Genomic DNA, 23,954 nt, shown 5'->3' with positions numbered 1-23,954 from the left:
GGCATGATACTCTAGAGCTAAGTTGTAGATTTTTTTCGTTATTTTAAATGGTATTTTAAGATGCGCAAAAAGAAGTACAGGTGATGATACAACAGACTTAGCTGATATTTATGACTCAGCGGTACACCTAAAATATTACAGGTTTATTGGAAGCCCTAATCCGATTTTCCTTTCTCCTTGACCGGATGGATTATCCTGCCTCTGTGAAGTGTAACTTTAAAGAGAAGGCGAATGAGCTTCTAGAGAGCTACCAAGACAGTCACTACTTCATCATCAGTAAAAGCTGTTTACTTCCGATGTGTAATAAACCCACGTGACCATTTGGGGGCGCCAGAGTCCAGCACAGGCCGGCCGAGCCCGCGTTCTTCCCGGGGAATGCAACAGCTGATTCACCTGCTCCACGCTGATTAATAATCAAACTACCATTGTGTGGGGCCTATCTTCCTACTGGACCTCAAAACCCACCTACTCCACAAGTTTATCTTCACAATTATGAGCTACCTGCTTCACGTCACACTACAGCACCTAAAAGCAAATAATAAAGTTTATTCTTGAGTTAACCTGCCTCTGTGTTCAGCCAATCCCTCCTGCACGTGAGTGATGCACCTGGATGCTGCATAAGGAGAGATGGAAATACCTAAGGTGTGGTCCTTACTTCCAAGGGGCTTATAGCAGAACGAAGACTCGAAAGCAAGCACACCCACAACCACAACACAGCCGCTGGCACACACAGCAGGAAAGACACCGGGTTTAATGGAGCAGAGAAAGGGGGCGTCATCTCCAGGCACAGCTCCATGAAGAAGATGACATTGACCTGGGAGCTCTGAGCCTTCATATAATGAGTAAGCTTTCAGCTGGAAGAAATCCCAAGTGGAGAAACAGGAAGCTATAAAAGAGCAATGGTTTTGGATTCACAAAACCTGCCTGAGTGAACCTGGGTAAGTTGCTTCCCCTTCTTGATCTCAGGAAGGGTTTTGCAGAGCTGGCAGCCACAGGCACAGGTGAGCAGATGGCTTGAGCTCAGAAGTGCAAGACTAGCCTGGGCTACATGGCAAAACCTGGTCTCTACAATCTGTAGAAGTTTTCCTTTCTAGCTACAAATTAATAAATGTTAATTTGAAAATAAAAATTAGAAAATCTAAGAAAATATAAAGAAGAAAATTAAATTACACCTAGTTCTGAAGAGGCGCAGTGGCTCACGCCTGCAATCCCAGCACTTAGGGAGGCCAAAGCGGGAGGACCGATTGAGACCAGGAGTTCCAGACCAGCCTGGGTAACATAGTGAGACTCCCTCCTCTACAAAAAATTAAAAAATTAGTCAGGTGTGGTGGTATGTGCCTACAGTCCTAGCTACTGGGGAGGCTGAGGTGGGAGAATCGCTTGAGTCCAGGAGTTTGAGGTTATAATGAGCTATGATTATGCCACTGCACTCCAGCCTGGGCAACAGAGCACGATTGTGTCTCAAAAAAATATATATATATGCTTAATCTTTTCACTTAGAAATATTTTCTTCTTATTTTTTCTATCAGCTCCTCCAATTTAATGTACAAAATGAGACTATACTGAATATACCTTTTATATCCTGTTATTTAACTTAACATTATATTGTGACTACTTTCTCGAATCAATGCATATAATTTTGTCTGGTTTTGCTTTCTTTTTCATCAAAGATGTACATGCACATAATCTAAGAATCAGTAGTTCAAGTCCCTCTTCTATCCTGCTCCCCAGATCAAAACTTGAAATATTTTAGTCAATTCCTTTGGGATTTACTTCCATGTCTTAAAATAACACCGTATTCATATTCTACTTACCAGCACGTGACTATCAGACATCACCTACTGACTTCTGACTCTGGAAATGGGGGTTTAGCCCTCTCCCCACCCCCATCACTCAGCCCCACCTTTTATTTTTCCTAGATTCAATGCTGGTCTTATTTTTTATTTGTTTGCTTTGCTTTCTCTGTACCTATCTCTGTTTTTTTTCCCAAATATTTCCTGAAGGTGTGAAACTCCACTCTGTATATTTAAGCACATTAGGCATTTTACTATGGCCACAAGTGGTGGCTCATGCCTGTAATCTTAGCACTTTGAGAGGTCCAGGTCAATGGCCTGAGCTCAGGAGTTTGAAACTAGCCTAGGCTACATGGTGAAATCTCGTCTCTATAAGAAACATAAAAAAATTAGCCGCAGGGTGCGGTGGCTCACGCCTGTAATCCTAAGACTTTGGGAGTCCATGGTGGGCGGATCATGAGGTTAGGAGATCGAGACCATCCTGGCTAACACGGTGAAACCCCGCTCTACTAAAAATACAAAAATTAGCCAGGCATGGTGGCACGGGCCTGTAGTCCCAGCTATTCAGGAGGCTGAGGCAGGAGAATCACTTTAACCCGGGAGGCGGAGGTTGCAGTGAGCTGAGATCACACCATTGCACTCCAGCCTGGGTGACAGAGCAAGACTCCATCTCAAATAAATAAATAAATAAATAAATAAATAAATAAATAAGCCACAGGCTGTGGTGGTGTGCAGCTGCAGTCCCAATTACTCAGGAGACTGAGGCAAAAGGATTGCTTGAGCCTGGGGATAGAGGCTGCAGTGAGCCATGTTGGCACCACTGCAAACTAGCCTGTGTGACAAAGCAAGAAAGTGAGACCCTGTCTCAAAAAGTAAAAAAGAAAAGTGCACTTTACCAGTATCATCTTCTTGGGCTATTTTTCCCAGCACCTTCTGACTGGCTCCCAAATGGCCAGGTTGCTGTCATCCTGGGATCTCCCTGCACCAGCACCCTGAGGATTTCCTTTTCTTCTCTCCTGTGTTGAGCCCTAGATTCCTGGGTCTCATGGCTTTCTCTTTCCTGGTTTACTCCTTCATTTTTATAGAACGCATCCTCAAGACTTCTGGAGGTGGATGCTCGGTAGTGAAAATTTTTGAAAACTTTCCATGTCTTTTAGTGGCTTTTGTTCTGCTTCTGCTTGATTGATGATCTGGTTAGGAATTGAATTCCAGGTAGGAAATCATTTTCCCATAAATCTTTTCAAGGCATTGCTCCATTGTCCTCCAGCTTTTCAGGCACTTTATAAGAACACAAATATAGGCCGGGCACGGTGGCTTACACCTGTAATCCCAGCACTTTGGGAGGCCAAGGCAGGCAGATCACCTGAGGTCAGGACTTTGAGACCAGCCTGGCAAACATGGTGAAACTCTATCTCTACTAATAATACAAAAATTAGCTGGGTATGGTGGCACATGCCTGTAATCCCAGCTACTCGGGAGGCTGAGGCAGGAGAATCACTTAAACCCCAGGAGGTGGTGGTTGCAGTGAGCCGAGATCACACCATTGCACTCCAGCCTGGGCAACAAGAGCAAAACTCTGTCTCAAAGAAAAAAAAAAAAGAACAGAAATATAACTCCCTTCTTTCCAAAGGATGCTATTTTGGTGGGGGGAAGCCCTCACCTTATATTCAAATAAATGCAAATTAAGAACACAGTGACATACCACTTTTCACCCACCAAAATGGCTAAAAGTAAACGAACTGATAATGCCAAGTGTTGCCAAGGATGTGGAACAACTGGGACATTCATATGCTGCTGATGGGAATGAAAAATGACACAACTATTTTGGAAAACATTTTGGCAGTTTCTTATAAAGTTCACATATACTTACTTCATGATCCAGCAATTTCACCTGTAGGTGTTTACCCAAGAGAAAATATGTATACTCATAAAGATTTGTCTGAAGAAGTTCTTGGCAGCTTTATTTATAATAACCCCCAAACTAGAAAGGACCCAAATATCCATCAACAGGAGAATGAATAAAGGAATTGTGGCATATCCATAGAATGGAATACCATTTGCTATGATCTAAATGTTTCTGTCCCGCAAAACTCATATGTTGAAATCTAACTATCCCTTATCTGGAATGCTTAGAAACAGAAGCATTTTGGATTTGGAATATTTGCATAATATTTACTGGCATCCCAAATCCAAAAAGCAGAAATCTGAAATGCTCCAATGACCATTTCCTTTGAGGGTCACATTGGTACTCAAAAAGCTTTTCAAAGCCCAGCGTGGTGGCTCACGCCTGTAATCCCAGCACTTTGGGAGGCCAAGGCAGGCGGATCACCTGAGGTCAGGAGTTCAAAATCAGCCTGGCCAACATGGTGAAACCCTGTCTCTACTAAAAATACAAAAATTAGTCGGGCGTGGTGGTGGTTGCCTGTAATCCTAGCTACTGGGGAGGCTGAGGCAGGAGAATCGCTTGAACCCAGGAGGAAGAGGCTGCAGTAACCTGAGATTGTGCCAGCCTGGGTGACAGTGAGACTCCGTCTAAAAAAAAAAAAACACATTTTGAATGATGGTGCTCAGCCTGTGTTAAGAGGTGGGGCCTGGCTGGGTGCGGTGGCTCACGCCTGTAATCCCAGCACTTTGGGAAGCCGAGGCAGGTGGATCACCTGAGGTCAGGGGTTCAAAACCAGCCTGGCCAACATGGTGAAACCCCATCTCTACTAAAAATACAAAATTAGCTGGGCGTGGTAGATGCCTGTAATCCCAGCTACTTGGGAGGTTCAGGCAGGAGAATCGTTTGAACCTGGGAGGCAAAGATTGCAGTGAGCCGAGATCACGCCATTGCACTCCAGCCTGGGCAACAACAGCAAAACTCCATCTCAAGAAAAAAAAGAAAAATACAAAATTGGCCTGGCATGGTGGTGCATGCCTGTAATCCCAGCTACTTGGGAGGCTGAGGCAGGAGAATCGCTTGAACCCAGGAGGTGGAGGTTGCAGTGAGCCGAGATGGCGCCATTGCACTCTAGCCTGAGCAACAAGAGCGAAATTCCATCTCAAAAAAATAAATAAATAAAAGAGATGGGGCCTTTAGGAAGTGATATGTTCATGAGGGTAAAGCCTCATGAAAGAATCAGGGCCCTTATAAAAGAGGACTGAGTGAGCCGTGATCCCGCCACTACACTCCAGTGTGGCCAACACAGGGAAACCCTATCTTTTTTTAAAAACTTTATTTTCAATTATCATTCTAGCATATTTTTTCTTTTTTTATTTTCAGTTGCCATTCTAGCACAGAGATCCTGTCTCAAAAAAAAAAAAAAAAGAGGCCTGAGAGAACGTGTTTATGTCTTTTCCCATGTGAAGACACAGCTAGAAAGCACCATCCTTGAAACTGAGAGCAAGCCCTCATCAGTCAGTGAATCTGCTGATGCCATGTTCTTGGAATTCCCAGCTTCCAGAACTGTGAGCAATAAATGTACATAGATTGCAAATTACCCAGTCTAAGGTATTTTGTTACAACAGCCCAAAAATACTAAGACAATATTCACCAATCAAAAGCAATTAAGTACTGACAGACGTAACAACATGGTAAATCTCAACGCATTATACCAAGCAAAAGAGGCTGGACACAATAGAGTGATTTCCTTCATCTAAAATAGGGAAAGGGCCGGGCGTGGTGGCTCGCCCCTGTAATCCTAGCACTTTGGGAGGTTGAGGCGGGTGGATCACCTGAGGTCAGGAGTTCGAGACCAGCCTGAACAACATGGTGAAACCCCATCTCTACTAAAAACATAAAAATGAGGCATACCTGGTGGCGGGCACCTGTAATCCCAGCTACTCAGGAAGCTGAGGCAGGAGAATCCCTAGAACCCGGGAGGCAGAGGTTGCAGTGAGCAGAGATCATGCCATTGCACTCCAGCCTGGGGAACAGAGCGAGACTCCCTCTCAAAAAAATAAATAAATAAAATAAAATAGGGAAAGGAAAATAGAAAAGGACAAACAACTTAATACAACAAAAAAGCAGGTCAGTGGTTTCCCAGTCCTGGGACCAAGGTGGGAGTGGTATGGATCATAAAGGGACGTGAGGAAAGTTCTGGGGTGGTGGAAATGTTCTATGTCCTGTTGTGTTGGTGGATACGTGGGTATAAATGTTTGTCACAACCCATCAAAGTGCTCACGTAAATATGAGTGTAGGCTGGGCGTGGTGGCTCACGCCTGTAATCCCAGCATTTTGGGAGGCCGAGGCAGGCAGATCACCTGAGGTTGGGAGTTAGAGACCACCCTGACCAACATGGAGAAATCCCCGTCTCCACTAAAAATACAAAATTAGCCGGGTGTGGTGGCGCATGCCTGTAATCCCAGCTACTTGGGAGACTGAGGCAGGAGAACACTTGAACTCGGAAGGTGGAGGTTGTGGTGAGCTGAGATCGCGCCATTGCACTCCAGCCTGGGCAACAAGAGTGAAACTCTGTCTCAAAAAAAAAAAAGTGTATTTTATTGTGTGTAAATTGCACTTCAATAAAGTTAATATTTTTATTTTTATTTACTTTATTATTATTATTTTGTTTTCAGACCGAGTTTCGCTCTTGTTACCCAGGCTGGAGTGCAATGGCGCAGTCTTGGCTCACTGCAACCTTCGCCTCCCAGGTTCAAGTGATTATCCTGCCTCAGCCTCCCAAGTAGCTGGGACTACAGGCGCCCGCCACCACGCCTGGCTAACTTTTGTATTTATAGTAGAGATGGGGTTTCACCATGTTGCCCAGGCTGGTCTCGAACTCCTGACCTCAGGTGATCTGCTCTCCTTGGCCTCCCAAAGTGCTGGCATTACAGGCGTGAGCCACCACGTCCAACCAAGTTAATATTTTTTAAATGAAGCACTAGTAAGAGGACTGCGATTCCATCCAAGGTCAGGGATTGTAGCAGCAGACTTCGCTTTAGGGAGACAGTGTGGGAAACCAGCAGTTTTGATTATCTCTTTTTAGGGCTTTCCATTTCACTAAAGAAGAGGGCTCCACTTTTTGGCATGGGGTGAAACATGGAAAAACCTGACTCTCTGGATTCTGGGCTTCAAGACAGGACAGAATGAGAGGAATCAGGAGTTACCGTCCAGGCCTTTCATTAGTCCTTCTCTTCACTGCATGACTGAATCCTGCCCTCTGGCTTTCCTAAGCCCCAGGCCACTCCAGCATTGTAGGAAGCAGCAGTTCCTTCTGAGCCACCCCTGTCCCTGGTCCCTGCACAGGCTACAGGCTGTGGCTTTTGGCACCCTCTTTTTCCATTCTCTCTCCTCTCTCCGCAGTCCTCCATCTAGTTGAACTCATGTAGGATCTCTGATGCTCCTCTTCCCCTGCCACCACAGTCCTGTTGTTTACCTTTTTAGGTTATAGTACCATCATTGTGGGTCAATCTGTTATAGGCACTAGCTTCCCAAAGTAAGAACGATCTTCTACTTTTTTTTTTGGCAGAGTTTCACTTTTGTTGCTCAGGCTGGAGTGCAATGGCTCGATCTCGGCTCACCACAACCTCTGCCTCCTGGGTTCAAGTGATTCTCCTGCCTCAGCCTCCTGAGTAGCTGGGATTACAAGCATGGGCCACCATGCCTGGCTAATTTTTTTGTATTTTTAGTAGAGATGGGGTTTCTCCATGTTGGTCAGACTGGTCTCGAACTGCCAACCTCAGGTGATCCGCCCACCTCGGCTTCCCAAAGTGCTGGGATTACAGGCGTGAGCCACTGCGCCCGGCCTACTTTTTTCATGTAAGTCTTTCTATTTATTTATTTATTTTTGAGACAGAGTTTCACTCTTGTTGCCCAGGCTGGAATGCAATGGCGCGATCTCGGCTCACCACAACCTCCACCTCCCGGGTTCAAGCAATTCTACTGCCTCAGCCTCCCGAGTAGCTGGGATTACAGGCATGCAGCACCACGTCTGGCTAATTTTGTATTTTTAGTAGAGATGGGGTTTCTCAATGTTGGTCAGGCTGGTCTTGAACTCCCGACCTCAGATGATCCACCCGCCTCGGCCTCCCAAAATGCTGGGATTACAGGCTTGAGCCACTGCATCTGGCCTAATTTTATTTTTATTTTTATTTTATTTATTTATTTACTTTGAGACAGAGTCTCGCTCTGTTGCCCAGGCTGGAGTGCAGTGACATGATCTCGGCTTACTGCAACCTCTGCCTCCCGGATCCAAGCAATTCTCCTGCCTCAGCCTCCCAAGTAGCTGGGATTACAGGCACATGCCACTGCGCCCAGCTAATTTTTGTATTTTTGGTAGAGATGGGGTTTCACCATGTTGGCCAGGCTGGTCTCGAACTCCTGACCTCAAGTGATCCACCTGCCTTGGCCTCCCAAAGTGTCGGGATTATAGGCATGAGCCACCGCGCACTGCCCTATTTTTATTTTATAAAGACAAGGTCTCATTATGTTGTCCAGGCTGGTCTTGAACTCCCAGGCTCAAACAATGTCCCCACCTTGGCCTCCTACAGTGCTGGGATTACAAGGGCGTGAGCCACCACACCTGGCCTGTATAAGTCTTTCCTGGGAACATGCATGTGGAAGGTATTCAAAAAACATTTGTTAGGGATAAAAGACTTTATGGTAAATTTTTAAAAAAGAGAGAGAGAAAGAAATATTTGTTGGGCCAGGCGCAGTGGTGTACACCTATAATCCCAGCACTATGGGAGGCTGAGGTGAGAAGATCTCTGAAGCCTGGGAGTTCGAGACCAACCTGGGCAACAGAGTGAGACTCTGTCTTTTTTTAAAAAAAAGAAATACTTGTGGAATCAATGAATGATGAATCTCAGACCTATTCTCATGTGTACTAAGAGAGAAATTATGAAGCTTTGGCCTGGCCGTACTCATCTTAATATCATCATTATTATTATTATTTTAGAGACGCAGTGTCACTGTGGCATGCAGTGGTGCGATCAGAGCTCACTGCAACCTCAAAATCCTAGACTCAAGGGAGTGTCTTCCCTCATTCCCCCCAAGTAGCTAAGGCTACAGGCGAGTGCCACCATTTTTGACTAGTTGATTTTTTATTTTACATTTTTAGTAGCGATGGAGATTCACTATGTTGCCCAAGCTGATGTCAAACTCCTGGCCTCAAGCAATCCTCCTGCCTTGGCCTCCCAAAATGCTGGGATTACAGGCATGAGCCACGGTGCCTGGCCAGTACTCACTTTAAAAGGGGATTGGAAACATACTAAATCTGAGTTTCTGTAATTAGTGACCGTTGTGAACATGGTATAAATTCTGCTTCTACTTTTAGAGCTGAATGAGTTTCTTTGACTGTAGACTGGAGATAAGACCTACCCTATTTTGGCATAGAAACAGTGAATGGGATAGGAGGAATAGAAAACATATCACCGAAGTGTTCACCATAAAAATGTTTTAGAGTGGCACTTCCAACAGTTTATTCCAGAGTAATATATGGCAGGAATTCTTTTTACTATTCTTTTTCTTCTGCTTATGAGATGAAGAGCAGTTCAACAAACAAAGCCTTCATGTCAGTAATTTTGTAGACACGCTCGGGGCTAGGTTTGTGGTAAAACCCTGAGAAGCTCCCAGTTTAGTTCAATTAAACGCTTTCTCCTTGAGAAGATGACCCTTTGTTGAAAGCTGCACTGAGTCAGCTTGTGGGTCTTTGAGACCCCAAAATTCATAGCTTCTCTAGGCCCTGGGGGCTGCACCAGGTGGCTTTGGGGTTGTTACCAGGCCACAAAATGAATATATTGAGTTACCCTGTCAACACTATGGGTGTTGTTTGGATTACCACGAGAAAAAGAGAAAGAAGGATAGTTGGGAGGCTCATGAACATTCAAAGAAGGCCAAACTCTACCACAAACAGTGCCATACTGAGAAAATACAGATTAAAAAGACAGTTCAAGGCCTGCACAGTGGCTCATGAGTAACCCCAGCACTTTGGGAGGCCAAGGCAGGAGGATTGCTTGAGCCCGAGTGTTTGAGACCAGCTTGGATGACAAAGTGAGACCCCATTTCAACCAAAAATTTAAAAATTAGCAGGATGTGCTGGTATGTGCCTGTGCTTCCAGCTAAAGGGGGGCCAAGGCCAGAGGATTGCTTGAGCCCAGGCCATTGAGGCTGGAGTGAGCCATGACTGCACCACTGCACTCCAGCCTGGGCAAGAGTGAGACCCTGCCTCCAAAAAATAAATGAATCAATAATAAAAATTTGCCAGTGTTTCAAATTGCATAGACATTAAAGGGCAAAATTATGGAATACAATCCTCAAATGGAGGGCAGCATCAAGGTCACTTGAATGATCACTGAAGGATTACAACGCCTGCAGCAACACTTTGATCAGTTAGAAAGAAAGAGACGGGCTGGGCGCGGTGGCTCATGCCTGTAATCCCAACACTTTGGGAGGCCGAGGCAGGCAGATCACCTGAGGTCAGGAGTTCAAGACCAGCCTGGCCAACATGGTGAAACCCCATCTCTATTAAAAATACAAAAATTAGCTGGGTGTGGTGGCGGGCGCCTGTAATCTCAGCTACTTGGGAGGCTGAGGCAGGAGAATTGCTTGGATCCGGGAGGCAGAGGTTGTGGTGAGCCGAGATTGTGCCATTGCACTCCAGCCTGGGCAACAAGAGCAAAATTCCATCTCAAAAAAAAAAAGAAAGAAAAAGAAGAAAAGGCTGGGCATGGTGGCTCATGCCGGTAATCCTAGCACTTTGGGAGGCCGAGGTAGGTGAATCACCTGAGGTCGGGGGTTCGAGACCAGCCTGACCAACATGGAGAAACCCCATCTCTATCAAAAATACAAAATCAGCCGGGCATGGTGGCGCATGCCTGTAATCCCAGCTACTCAGGAGGCTAAGGCAGGAGAATCGCTTGAACCTGGGAGGTGGAGGTTGCAGTGGGCCGAGATCACGCCATTGCACTCCAGCCTGGGCAACAAGAGCGAAACTCCATCTCAAAGAAAAAAAGAAAGAAAGAGACAATATCTTCAGATTACAATGTTCTTCCAAAAGATTTCAGCAAAAAAACCCTTCAACTATCAATTGATAGTTGATATCATTGATATCATCTGCTCCTGACATCCAACCATTGACATCATCATGGCCCGGTGATGCAGGATCACCTGAAGCAGATGATCCTCCTGATGTTTGTCAGAAGCTCAAGAGAAGCCCAACACTCATTACAATGCTATGCCACTCATCTCGTGCAGCTCACCACACTGCATCATCTCATCAGAGGGTGAGTACAGTACAGATATTTTGAGACAGATCACATTCACATCACTTTTATTATAGTAGTTTATTGTAGTCTGTTGTTATCATTGTTCTTTATTTTTATATTTTAGAGATGGTGTCTCGCTTTATTGCCCAGGCTGGTCTTGAACTTCTGGACTCAAGAAATCCTCCTGCCTCAGCCTCCCAAAGTGCTGGGATTACAGGTGTGAGCCACCACGCCCAGCCCAATAGTTCTATTTTATTATTAATGTTGCTAATCTCTTATTATGCTTAATTTATAAATTAAACTTTTTATTGGTGTGCATGCATAGTATATATGGGGTTCAGGACTATCCACGATGTCACATATCCACTGAGGGTCTTGGAATGTACCCACTGTTGATAAGTTGGGGGACTACTGAATATGATTCCTCCTCTTACCTGTAGGATGGCCCATGCAGTTTCGTCCCAGAGGATTATGAAATGAAACTGTTTATTACATTGGTGCAAAAGTAATTGAGGTTTTTGCTGTTAAAAATAATGGCAAAATTACTTTTTTTTTTTTTTTTTGAGACAGATCTCACTCTATCACCCAGGCAGGAGTGCAGTGGTGTGATCTCAGCTCACTGCAACCTCCACCTCCTGGGTTCAAGCGATTCTCCTGTCTCAGCCTCCTGAGTAGCTGGGACTACAGGCACATACCACCATGTCCGGTTAATTTTTGTATTTTTTAGTAGAGACAGGGTTTCACCACATTGGCCAGGCTGGTCTTGAATTCCTGACCTCAGGTGATCCACCCGCTTCAGCCTCCTGAAGTGCTGGGATTACAGGTGTGAGCCACCGTGCCCGGCAGGCAAAATTACTTTTAATGGCAAAAACCGCAATTACTTTTGCACCAACCTAATACCAGCTAGACACCCGCATGGCCTCAATTCTAAATTAAACTATAGAAGAAATTGTTAGCAGCTACACACATCACTCAGTGGAGCCCAATCTTGGGGATAGGCAGTGGGAGAGAGAGGGAGTAGCATTCTTAGTCTGTATTGCAAAGCTGTAGGTTCTCCCTCGGTAGCCCTAGGGTTAATGTAGGCATTAAAGACCTCTCTAAAGGCAACAGTGAAAAGCCAGGGTCTCTGCACACCATAGCCACCCCTACACACACCCCCACCCCCACCACCTCCGCACTCCTCCCGACCTCTCTGCAGAGCTCTGCAGTCAGGCCTCCTAGGATTTCAGCTGGAAACATCAGGCACTCTGTCTATCCTTCAGTCGACCTTTCCTATCCGTAACTGATTTCCCCATGTGGACCAGAGGGAGCAAAGCTTTAGGTTAGTGTCAAAAGGATTTTTAACCCTTACTGCACTCAGAATTCTCTTGTGTGTGTGCATGGAGGCGGCAGGAAGCATAGAGTGTCAGGGCCTCGGTCCTCATTAAGGTCCAGATGAAATTGATCATCCGGCACCATGCCAGGATTTCTCCTAGGTTCTGCTGAGGCAGAAGCAAAAGGAAAATAAAATAGGATGTCATGTTCCCCAGCCCCAGGAGCCAACTGGAAACAATTGGAGGAAATCGCAGCCCCCATCAGAGGTGGTCTTTATGGACAGGAACACTGGCTCGCAAGAAACTTTGCACACTCTTCTCTCAACAGAATCTGACGAATACTCAGATTGTTCAATACATGTGCATAAACCCAGAAAATCTCTGGAAATAGATCGTGGTGATGGTTACACAACATTATGAATGCACTTAATGCCATGGAACGGTACACTTTAAAATGGTTAAAATGGTAAATTTTGTGTGACATGTATTTTACCAGAATTAAAGCAGTGACAACAGAAACTTATTTGCTGGCTTCTGAAACCTAAGACTCATTCTGGAGTCTCTTCTTTACTCACCCCACACGACCAATCTGTCAGGGCCTCTTGTCACCTCCACCTCCAGAACTCGTCGGGAATCCATCCCTCCACCTCTGCGGCCATGCCCTGGTCCAAGCTACCATCGCCACCTCTGGGTACTGCAGCAGTGACCTCCTCCTAACTCATTTCCCTGCTTCGACTCTGGCCCTCTGCAGCCCATGTTTCCCTCAGCAGCCAGAGTGAGCTTTTAAGCACATGACTGAGATCATAGTGTTCCCCTGCTTAAAACCTAATGGATCGGCCGGGGGCTGTGGCTCAAGCCTGTAATCCCAGCACTTTGAGAGGCCGAGGTGGGCAGATCACAAGGTCAAGAGTTCGAGACCAGCCTGGCCAACATGGTGAAACCCTGTCTCTACTAAAAATACAAAAATTAGCCGGGCGTGGTAGTGCGCACCTGTAATCCCAGCTACTCAGGAGGCTGAGGCAGGAGAATCGCTTGAACCCAGGAGGTGGAGATTGCAGTGAGCCAAGATTGTGCCACTGCACTCTAGCCTGGCAACAGAGCAAGACTCCCAACAGCAATAACAACAACAACAACAACAAAAAACCTAATGGATTCCCCTGGCCCCTGGAATAAAAGCCCAGCTTCCTTGCTGGCCTCCAGGCCCCATGTGATCTGGCTCAGTCAGCCTCTCCAACCCCAAATCCAGCCCCTCTCTTTCTGACTCACCATGTTTTAGATATTTGCACCATCTTTCTGTTCTTTGAATGTGCTCAGCTCACTCCTACCTCGGGGCCTTTGCTCCTACTGTTTCTTCTGCCAGAAATGCTTGTCCCAGGTCTCCGCATGGCTGTCTCCTTGTTGGCACTCAGCCCTCGGCTTAAATGTCACCTCTACACAGAGGCCTTTTCCTCTAGGTTGCAGTAGCCCCCCAGTCACACCATCACTCATCCCTGCTGCATTTCCTTGCAGCCCTTATCCTAAATATTTCCTTGTCTATTTGTCTAATAACGTATTGTCCATCTCCTCCCCCTAGAATAAAAACTGCACAAAAGGCCAGGCACAGTGGCTCACGCCTATAATCCCAACACTTTGGGAGTCCAAGGCAGGAGGATCACTTGAGGTCAGAGGTTCAAGACCAGCCCTGGCCAACATGGTGAAACCTTATTTCTACTAAAAATACAAAAAAAATAGCTTGGCATGGTGGCAGGCACCTGTAATCCCAGCTACTTGGGAGGCTGAAGCAGAAGAATCACTTGAACCTGGGAGGTGGAGGTTGCAATGAGCCAAGATCACGCCACTGCACTCCAGCCTGGGCAATAGAGTGAGGCTTCATCTTAAAACAAAACAAAACAAAACAAATAAAACAGCCAGGCACAGTGGCTCACATCCCACTACTTTGGGAGGCTGAAGCAGGCGGATCACCTGAGGTCAGGAGCTTGAGACCAGCCTGGCCAACATGGCAAAACCTCATCTCTACTAAAAATATTAAAAAATTAGCTGGGCGTGGTGGCATGTGCCTGTAATTCCAGCTACTTGGGAGGCTGAGACAGGAGAATCACTTGAACCCAAGAGGCGGAGATCGCACCACTGCACTTCAGCCTGGGTGATGGAGCAAGACTCTGTCTCGAAAAAACAAAAGACAAAACAAAACAAAAAAACTGCATGAAGAGCAGGAACCTGCATTGCTGTGTCTCTAGCACCTAGAATAGTCCCTGGCACATAATGGGCACAAGTATTATTGAGTGAATGGGTGACAAATCAAAGCACATTTCCCGGTCAGGCGCAGTGGCTCACGCCTGTGAACTCCCAGCCCTTTGGGAGTCCGAGGTAGAAGAATCCCTTGAGCTCAGGAGTTCGAGACCAGCCTGGGCAATAGAGTGAGACCCCGTCTCTAAAAAATATATATATATATAATGAAGAAAAATTTTAAAAAGTGCATTCCCTAAACATCAGGAATATCACATGTAGTAAGTTGAATGGTCGTCCCCAACAAGATATGTCCATGCCCCAGAATCTGTAAATCTGCCCTTATTTGGGAAAACAGTCTCTACAGATACAATAAAGTTGTCCTGGATTACCCTGGGGGGCCCTCTTGATGAGGAGAAGACACAGAGACACAAAGGAGAAGGCCAAGGTGAAGACAGGGGCGGCGATTGGAGCAATGCTCCCACAAGCCAAGGAATGCCTGTGGCCACCAGAATCTAAGAAGGCAAGGAGAGATCTTCCCCTGGAGCTGCAGGCAGGAACATGGCCTTGACCCACACCTTGATTTCAGATTTTGGGCTTCGACAATCTCTATTGCTTTAAGCCACCACCTTTGTGGTACTTTGCTACCACAGCCCTAGGAAACTAACACATGACTCAAGGGTCAAGGATGCAAGATCTTGCCCCCAGCATCTTTGATCTTTCATTATATTCTTCCCTGATTCTCGGTTCCAAGCCCAGGGGTACAGTCCTGTGACCTCTACAGTGAAAAATCAATCACTTTGTCCAGCCTTTGTTTTATCTACCTGGTATAGGTCGCATTGTGTCCCCTCAAAAGATATATTCAAGTCCTAACCCCAGTCCCTGTGAACATGATTTTATTTAAAAATAAGATCTTTTCTGGCTGGGCGCGGTGGCTCACGCCTGTAATCCCAGCACTTTGGGAGGCCAAGGCGGGTGGATCACAAGGTCAAGAGATTGAGACCATCCTGGCCAACATGATGAAACCCCGTCTCTATTAAAAGTATAAAAATTAGCTGGGCGTGGTGGCGGGTGCCTGTAGTCCCAGCTACTCGGGAGGCTGAGGCAGGAGAATCGCTTGAACCCAGGAGGTGGAGGTTGCAGTGAGCCGAGATCATGCCATTGCACTCCAGCCTGGGCGACAGAGCGAGATGCTGTCTCAAAAAATATAAAAATTAAAAAAAATAAGATCTTTTCTTTCCTTTTATGTTTTAGTTTTTTTTGAGACAGGGACTCACTCTGTCGCCCAGGCTGGAGTGCAGTGGCGAAACCTTGGCTCACTGCACTCTCCATCTCCCAGATTCAAGAGATCCTCCTGCTCCAGCTTCCCAAGTAGCTGCAACTATAGGCACGCACCACCACTCCTGGCTAATTTTTGTATTATTTTGTAGAGACAGACTTTCGCCATGTTGCCCACGCTGGTCTCGAACTCCTGGGCTCAAATGATCCTGCCACCTTGGCTTCCCGTAGTGTTGGGATTACAGGCATGAGCCACCACGCCCAGCCTGGAAATGTGATCTTTTTTAGCTGAGTTAAAATAAAAAAAGAAATAGGATCTTTACAGATGTAACCAAGTAAAAATAAGGTAATACTGGATTCAGGTGGGCTATAACTTCTTCTTTGTAAGAAGAGAGAAATTTGGTCACAGAGGCAGAGACACACACAGAAAGAACACAGCCATGTAAGATGAAGACAGAATCAGGGTGATGCAGTTACAAAGCCAAGGAATGGTATGGATAGCTGGCAACAACCAACAGCTGAAGACTCCTAATTGAGGAAGGAGTCTTGCCTGGAAATTTTGGACTTTTCACCTTCAAAGCTATGAGAGAATAAATCTGTGCTGTTTTGTTTGTTTGTTTGTTTGTTTGTTTGTTTTGAGATGAAGTTTTGCTCTTGTTGCCCAGGCTGGAGTGCAGTGGCGCAATCTCAGCTCACCACAACCTGTGCCTCCCAGGTTCAAGCAATTCTCCTGCCTCAGCCTCCCGAGTAGTTCAGATTACAGGCACCCGCCACCATGCCCAGCTAATTTTTGTATTTTTAGTAGAGACGGGGTTTCTCCGTGTTGGTCAGGCTGGTCTCGATCTCCCAACCTCAGGTGATCCACCCACCTCGGCCTCCCAAAGTGCTGGGATTACAGGTGTGAGCCACCACGCCCGGCCTAAATCTCTGCTGTTTTAAGCCACCCAGCTTGTGGCACTTTGTGACGGCACCCAGAGGACACTAATACAGTCCCTAAATATACCTTCCTTTGAACTCCTCTGGCATGCATCAACTGTGTGTGCAGTTGGATGCTGAACTAACCATAGAGACCAGCATGTATCTTCCATGTGCTTCTCACATTCCCACCACCAGCTCACTAAGGGCTGGATGTTGTCGTTTGGTGTCTTGGCATCACCCACAACAGTTTGTGGAGTGCTGGTGTGAGAGAAGTCCCCTTGTAAGTTGAAATTGAATGAAGAATGGAAATATCAACAGATCAACTGCTAGATAGGGGCTACAAGGCAATGACTCAGATTCATGATAGATCTAGGGGTCTTTGCTGCCTGTGAAAGCCCTGAGTTGATACAGATTTGGGTTTAATTTCGGCCTTCTCCATACTTTATCTTTATCCCTCAAATTCAGGCTTTAGCTGCTGTTCTCCAATTCCTCCAAGGCTGGACACTGTGGAAAGAGTTTTTAAGGCTTCTTCTCTGCCTGATACTTCTGGTCTGAGTGCTGGTGAGGGAGGCACCAAGATGGAGGGACGTTAAAGGGCTTTGTCCTTGATCCTCTCTTCATTTGCTCCATCGGTAGGTGGGTATCCAAGTCTGGTGGTGTTCATCAGGGCCTTCCCAGGCAAAGGAGGAAGGAACATTGGAAGAGAAGATCAAGGGGGAGAAATAGCCCACAAGAAAGCAGAAGAAATAGGCTGGGCGCTGTGGCTCATGCCTGTAATCCCAGCACTTTGGGAGGCCGAGGTGGGTGGATCTTCTGAGGTTGGGAGTTTGAGACCAGCTTGACCAACATGGAGAAACCCCATCTCTACTAAAAATACAAAATTAGCCAGGCGTGGTGGCAGGTGCCTGTAATCCCAGGTACTCCGGAGGCTGAGGAGGAGAATCACTTGAACCCAGAAGGCAGAGGTTGTGGTGAGCCAAGACCAGGCCATTGCACTCCAGCCTGGGCAACAAGAGTGAAACTCAAAAAAAAAAAAAAAAAAAAAAAAAGGAAAAAAGATAGCAGAAGAAATAGAAAGCTCCAGGGAAAAGTGAAAACTTCAGAGCTGGTTAGTTGGTGTGACATTATGATACATATGTATTGGTTCTCACCCATGGTTTCTGGCTCATAACTCCCATAGCCCTTGTCATAGTCTTTTGTGATAATATTGGGGTGTTTTAGGCCTCTGACCCAGCCTCAGAAAACAGAATCTCTCTCCCTGACCTTCTCCTGCCCTCCTTTTACCTGCTCCTTTTTCTCCCCAAGGCAGTAATCATTTTCCTGCCTTTTTGTCTAGGAGCTAGCCCTAAAGAAATTCCCCAACCTACCTCGCCTAATTGTAGGTTACAAGACAACCATTCCAGACAAGATCCTGCCCCATACCCTGGAGGAAGGACAGCTGCACAGAGAGGTCAAGAAGAATCTAGATAGACAGGCCTTGCTGGCATTCCTGAGTCAGTCCATTAGCCTTTGATCAATCCCTTTTGGTTCAATCACATTTCTGCATGGCTGTCCATGCTTCAATCATGTCTAACCAATGAAGTCTCCATAAAAAGCCAAGGAGGGGCCAGGCGTGGTGGCTCACACCTGTGCTTCCAACACTTTGGGAGGCCAAGGCGAACAGATTGCCTGAGGTCAGGAGTTCAAGACCAGCCTGACCAACATGGTGAAACCCCGTCTCTACAAAAAATACAAAAATTAGCTGGGTGTGGTGGTGGGCTATCTGTAATCCCAGCTACTTGGGAGGCTGAGGCAGGAGAATAGCTTGAACCCGGGAGGTGGAGGTTTCAGTGAGCTGAGGCTGGGCCATTGCACTCCAGCCTGGGCAACAAGAGCCAAACTCCATCTCAAAAAAAAAAAAAAAAAAAAGCCCAGGAGGATGGAGTATGAAGAGCTTCCAGACAGCTGAACACAGAAAGGTTCTTGGAGTGTGATTTGCCTGGGGAGGGCGTGGAAGCTCCATTCTCCTCCCCCATACCTTTTTGTTTGTTTGTTTGTTTTGAGATGGAGTCTTGCTTTGTTGCCCAGGCTGGAGTACAGTGGCACCATCTCGGCTCACTGCAACCTCCACCTCCCAGGTTCAAGCGATTCTCCTGCCTCAGCCTCCCGAGTAGCCGGGACTCCAGGCGTGTGCCACCATGCCCAGCTAATTTTTAAATTTTTTTAGTAGAGATGGGGTTTCACCATGTTGGCCAGGCTGGTCTCAAACTCCTGACCTTGTGCTCTGCCCACCTCAACCTCCCAAGGTGCTGGGATTACAGGTGTGAGCCACCACACTCAGCACCCCCATATCTCTTTTTATGCACCTCTTCATCTGTATCCTTCGTCATATCTTCTATAATAAACTGGTAAACATCAGTATTTCCCTGAATCCTGTAAGTTGCTCTAGCAAATTAATTGAGCCTAAAGAGGGGGCCGTGGGAACCCTTGAAGCTGGTCAGTCAACAGTTCTTTTTTTCACAGTTTTGGAGGCTGGGAAGTCCAAGATCAAGGTGCCTGCAGATTTGGTATCTGGGGAGGGCCTGCTTTCTGGTTCACAGACGGCATCTTCTAGAGTGAGGGGTCTCTTTAGGGCCTCGAAGGATACTCATCCCATGCATGAGAGCTCTGCTGTCATGACTTAATCACTTCCCAACGGCCCTGCCTCCTAATACCATCATCTTGGGGTTAGGTCTCAGCATATAAATTTTGGGGAGATACAAACATTTAGACCATAGCACCTTCCCTTTCCTTCATATTAAGATACAAAGTCCATTTGCTAGGCATTAACACCAGAGGAACTGCACCTTACACATGGATCAGCAAGGACTGAGAGATGATTACAGGACCCCTGCAACCATCATGACCTGTGATGGTTGCCGGGCATGGTGATTCATGCCTGTAATCCCAGCACTTTGGGAGGCCAAGACGGGTAGATCACCTGAGGTCAGGAGTTCAAGACCAGCATGACCAACATGGTGAAACCCAGTCTTCTCTAAAAAATACAAAATTAGCTGGGCATGGTGGTACATGCCTGTAATCCCAGCTACTTAATTCTTTCAATAAGTCAGTCAAGATGAGGTTGTTAATTGACTGGAGCCAGAAATGTCTAAGCCTTCCCCTAGGAAGAGGGAGGGAGGGCAAGGTGCTTAGTTCATACCAAGAAAGCAATGGATGACATCATCTTAAAACATGGCCTGCTTCTCCTGGGACTGTTTTGAGGTTCAAATATGATGACAAAATTCTTCAAATCCCTTTGACAGTGAAAGCCTGGGCCCAGGGCTAGTGGTGTTTTTGTGTATTTCATTGGTACAAACAGAAGTAGAGGAAATAGCTCATTCTCACACCCTGTTGGAGGCATTGCTGGGACTAGAACCTGGGCCCTGAGCCCCAGCCTGGGGTAAAGTATGTCTGGCTATGCGCCTAATTGCATCACGCATCTTGAGATGCAACTGGTGTCTAAAGCGAGGGGGGCAGTCCTGAGGCACTGAGCTCTAAACCTGGGAGATCTGATGCTATTTCTGGGTAGGTGGTGTCAGAATTAAACTGGAGGACGCTCAGCTGGTGTCCATGGCAAAATTGATTGATTGCTTGGCATGTGGGGAAAAAAACCCACACATTTGGTCACAGAAGTCTTCTGTCTTTATTGTGTAGTGTGAGAGCAGAGGAAAATCAGTTGGTTTTTTTTTCCACTCACAAAGTGGCTCTGGACAAATCAGACTGTGCTCTGGCCTTGGGGACATCCAATGAAGAGGGAATCAGTATGTGAGGAGTTAGGAAAACCAGCCACATTAGAGAACAGTGGACGCTTGTCTTTTCGGAATGCCACAGCTGTTTTTCTTTCTTTTTTGACTGTGGGTTTTTCCATTTTATCTTTCCTGCACAGGCTTCTCTGGGGATCTTTGTGCTCCTTTGCAACAAGGTTCTTGCCTTGTTGGAGAGCAGGGACTCTATAAATGTTCCGCGGGACTTAGGATCCCTCCCCAGAGAAGGCAGTGGGAGGCCTCCTTGCTCCTACCTCTGCCTGTTTTCAGGATGAGCGTAGACACAGACTGACTTTTCTGCAGCAGAACGGCGGAGGCCAAGTGGCTAAGTGGACGCCACCATAGGGGGAGGCCAGTGGGAGGCCTCTCTAGTTTCCATTTCTCGCCTCTTTTTTTAAAATGCATTTTCCCTCTTCTCTTTCCAAATGCAGAAAGGAGTAAATGTGAAGCAAGCAGTGCAGATAAAGAGAGAAAAATAGCAAAGAGAGATAGGAAGGTGGCGCTCGTGGGATAAAAATGTAAAGCTTACCTGCTCATCAGGTAAAAAGTGCATACATGAAATTTTGGAGAGAAGTTTTATCCAACTCATGCAAGGAAGATCTGTTCAGCAAGCAAATTGGGGCTGCTAAGGCCTTCTAGAGAGTTAATAAGACCAGGTGCAGTGGCTCACACCTGTAATCCCAGCACTTTGGGAGGTCAAGGCAGGCGGATCACCTGAGGTCAGGAGTTCAAGACCAGCCTGGCAAACATACGAAAACCCCCCTCTCTACTGAAAATACAAAAATTAGCCAGGCGTGGTGTCTTATGCCTGTAATCCCAGCACTTTGGGAGGCCAAGGCAGGAGGATCGCTTGAGCCCAGGAGTTCAAGGTTACAGTGAGCTATGATTGCCCCACTGCTCTCCAGCCTGAGCAACAGAGAGACCCTGTCTCAAAAAAAAAAAAAAAAAAAAAGGAGCCGAGTGTGGTGGTGCATGCCTGTAATCCCAGGTACTTGGGAGACTGAGGCACAAGAATCACTTGAACCCGGGAGGCGAAGGTTGCAGTGAGCCAAGATTGCACCACTGCACTCCAGCCTTGGAGACACAGTGAGACTCCATCTCAAATAAAGAGAGATGGCTGGGCGCGGTGGCTCACACCTGTAATCTCAGCACTTTGGGAGGCTGAGGTGGGCGGATCACCTGAGGTTGGGAGTTTACGACCAGGCTGACCAACATGGAGAAACCCCGTCTCTACTAAAAATACAAAATTAGCCAGGCGTGGTGGCGCACACCTGTAATCCCAGCTACTTGGGAGGCTGAGGCAGGAGGAATTGCTTGAACACGGGAGGCGGAGGTTGTGGTGAGTGGAGATCGTGTCATTGCACTCCAGCCTGGGCAACAATAGTGAAACTCTGTCTCAAAAAAAAAAAAAAGTTAAGACTGAGGTTGGACCCCTTCTTTAGGGATAGATTTCCTTAAACTCCAGCTATGGGGATGGTAAGTAGCCACTGAAGATGAAGGACTTGAAAAAGAAAGGTTTCCACCTGTCCCAGAAGGTATAATCTCAGAAGTAAAAAGGAAATATGTACACTTGGAGACACACACACACACACACACACACATACACTCAGTCACTTTGCTTTAGAATAACTCTGTCCAGGCCTTGACTTAGGTTAGGTTCTAAACGGGTCAGAATTGTGACAAAGGCAGGATGGGAGAGCAGAAAGAGAGGTGGCCTTTGTGTGGCAGCACTGGGACTAGACCCAAGGGATATTTTTCTCTTCTTTTCAAGATGGCGTTTCGCTCTTGTTGCACAGGCTAGAGTGCAATGGCACAATCTCGGCTTACTGCAACCTCTGCCTCCCAGGTTCAAGCAATTCTCCTGCCTCAGCCTCCTGAGTAGCTGGGATTGCAGGCACCCACCACCATACCTGGTTAATTTTTGTATTTTTAGTAGAGACTGGGTTTCACCACGTTGGCCAGGCTGGTCTCGATCTCCTGACCTCAAGCGATCCACCCACCTTGGCCTCCCAAAGTGCTGGGATTACAGGCGTGAGCCACAACGCCCGGCCCTTTCTTTTCTTTTTTTAAAAGACACAGTCTTGTTCTGTCACCCAGGCTGGATTGCAGTGGTGCCATCATGGCTCACTGCAGCCTCAACCTCCTGGGCTCAAGCAATCCTCCTGACTCGGTATCCCGAGTAGCTGGGACTACAGGCACGCACCACCACACTCGGCTAATTTTTAAATTTTTTTTGTAGAGACGGGGTCTTGCCATGTTGCCCAGGCTGGTCTCAAATTCATGAGCTCAAGCAATCCTCCCACCTTGGCCTCTCGAAGTGCTGGGATTACAGGCAAGGACCACTATGCCCAGCTCTGCCCCCAGGGTACATTTTAAAGAACTGTTTTATTGTCAAATAAAAGCCACAGTACAGGTCGGGCACGGTGGCTCACGCCTGTAATTCTAGCACTTTGGGAGGCTGAGGGGGGCGGATCACTTGAGGTCAGGAGTTCAAGACCAGTTTGGCCAACATGGTGAAACCCCATCTCTACTAAAAATACGAAAAAAAAAAAAATTAGGAGTAGTGGTGCACACCTGTAGTCCCAGTTACTTGGGAGGCTGAGGCACGAAAATCGCTTGAATCCAGGAGGCGGAGGTTGCAGTAGGCTGAGATAGCGCCACTGCACTCCAGCCTGGGTGACAGAGACTCTGTCTCAAAGACAGGAAAACAAACCACAAGTACTACACACATACACAAATAATATACACTTAAAAAAAAAAGAAACCACACAGGTAAAACCCACACTGAACAAATATATGGCCTTAATACATTATTATAAGGTGAATACTTTTGTAACCACTACCCAGGTCTAAAAATAGAACTTTCCAATTTCCAACCAAAAACCTTCCCCACCAACACCAGTCCTGTCCTGACATTTTTTTTTTTTTTTTTTGGAAACGGAGTCTCGCTCTTTCACAAGGCTCGAGTGCAGTGGTGCGATCTTGGCTCACTGCAACCTCTGACACCCTGGTTCAGGTGATTATCCTGCCTCAGCCTCCCGAGTAGCTGGGATTACAGGCACGTGCCACCACGCACAGCTAATTTGTGTATTTTTAGTAGACACGGGGTTTCACCATGTTGGCCAGGATGGTCTCGAACTCCTGACCTCGTGATCTGCCTGCCTCAGCCTCCCAAAGTGCTGGGATTACAGGCCTGAGCCACCGCGCCTGGCTCCCTGTCCTGACTTTTATGAGAATCACAAACTTGAGTTTTTGATAGTCTGGCCACACAGGTGTACATCACTAAACTCTGTAGTCTTGCTCATTGTTTAACTGGAGATGACTGTTTGGCCTCTTTAATTTCTGGAGGATCTGTTCCTTCCCTACAGTTTCTCTAGGGCAGAGCCCAATAACAGATTCTCCAGAAACTGTTGACCTGCAGTTTCCCACAATCTGGATTTGGCCGGTCGCACCCT

The 23,954-nt window shown here is 46.7% G+C and overlaps 1 long non-coding RNA gene across 2 annotated transcripts in view; it reads left to right on the top strand.

The window, feature by feature from the left end:
* The first annotated feature begins 229 nt into the window (after positions 1-229).
* Positions 230-23,954, top strand: part of LINC02733 (long intergenic non-protein coding RNA 2733) — a 32,467-nt gene continuing 8,742 nt past the window's right edge. Inside the window, exons 1-2 of one of the 2 annotated variants that reach the window (NR_183617.1) lie at positions 230-938; positions 5,059-5,275. This is a non-coding gene — a long non-coding RNA (long intergenic non-protein coding RNA 2733). Of the gene's footprint in view, positions 939-5,058; positions 5,276-23,954 lie in introns of those variants that run through there. The other variant, NR_183616.1, reaches the window with a different exon arrangement.

The sequence above is a fragment of the Homo sapiens genome, chromosome 11 (assembly GCF_000001405.40).
Source record: "Homo sapiens chromosome 11, GRCh38.p14 Primary Assembly".
NCBI lineage: Eukaryota > Metazoa > Chordata > Mammalia > Primates > Hominidae > Homo > Homo sapiens.
The sequence above is the reverse complement of the archived record's forward strand: the minus strand, read 5'-3'. Positions and strand labels throughout refer to the sequence as shown.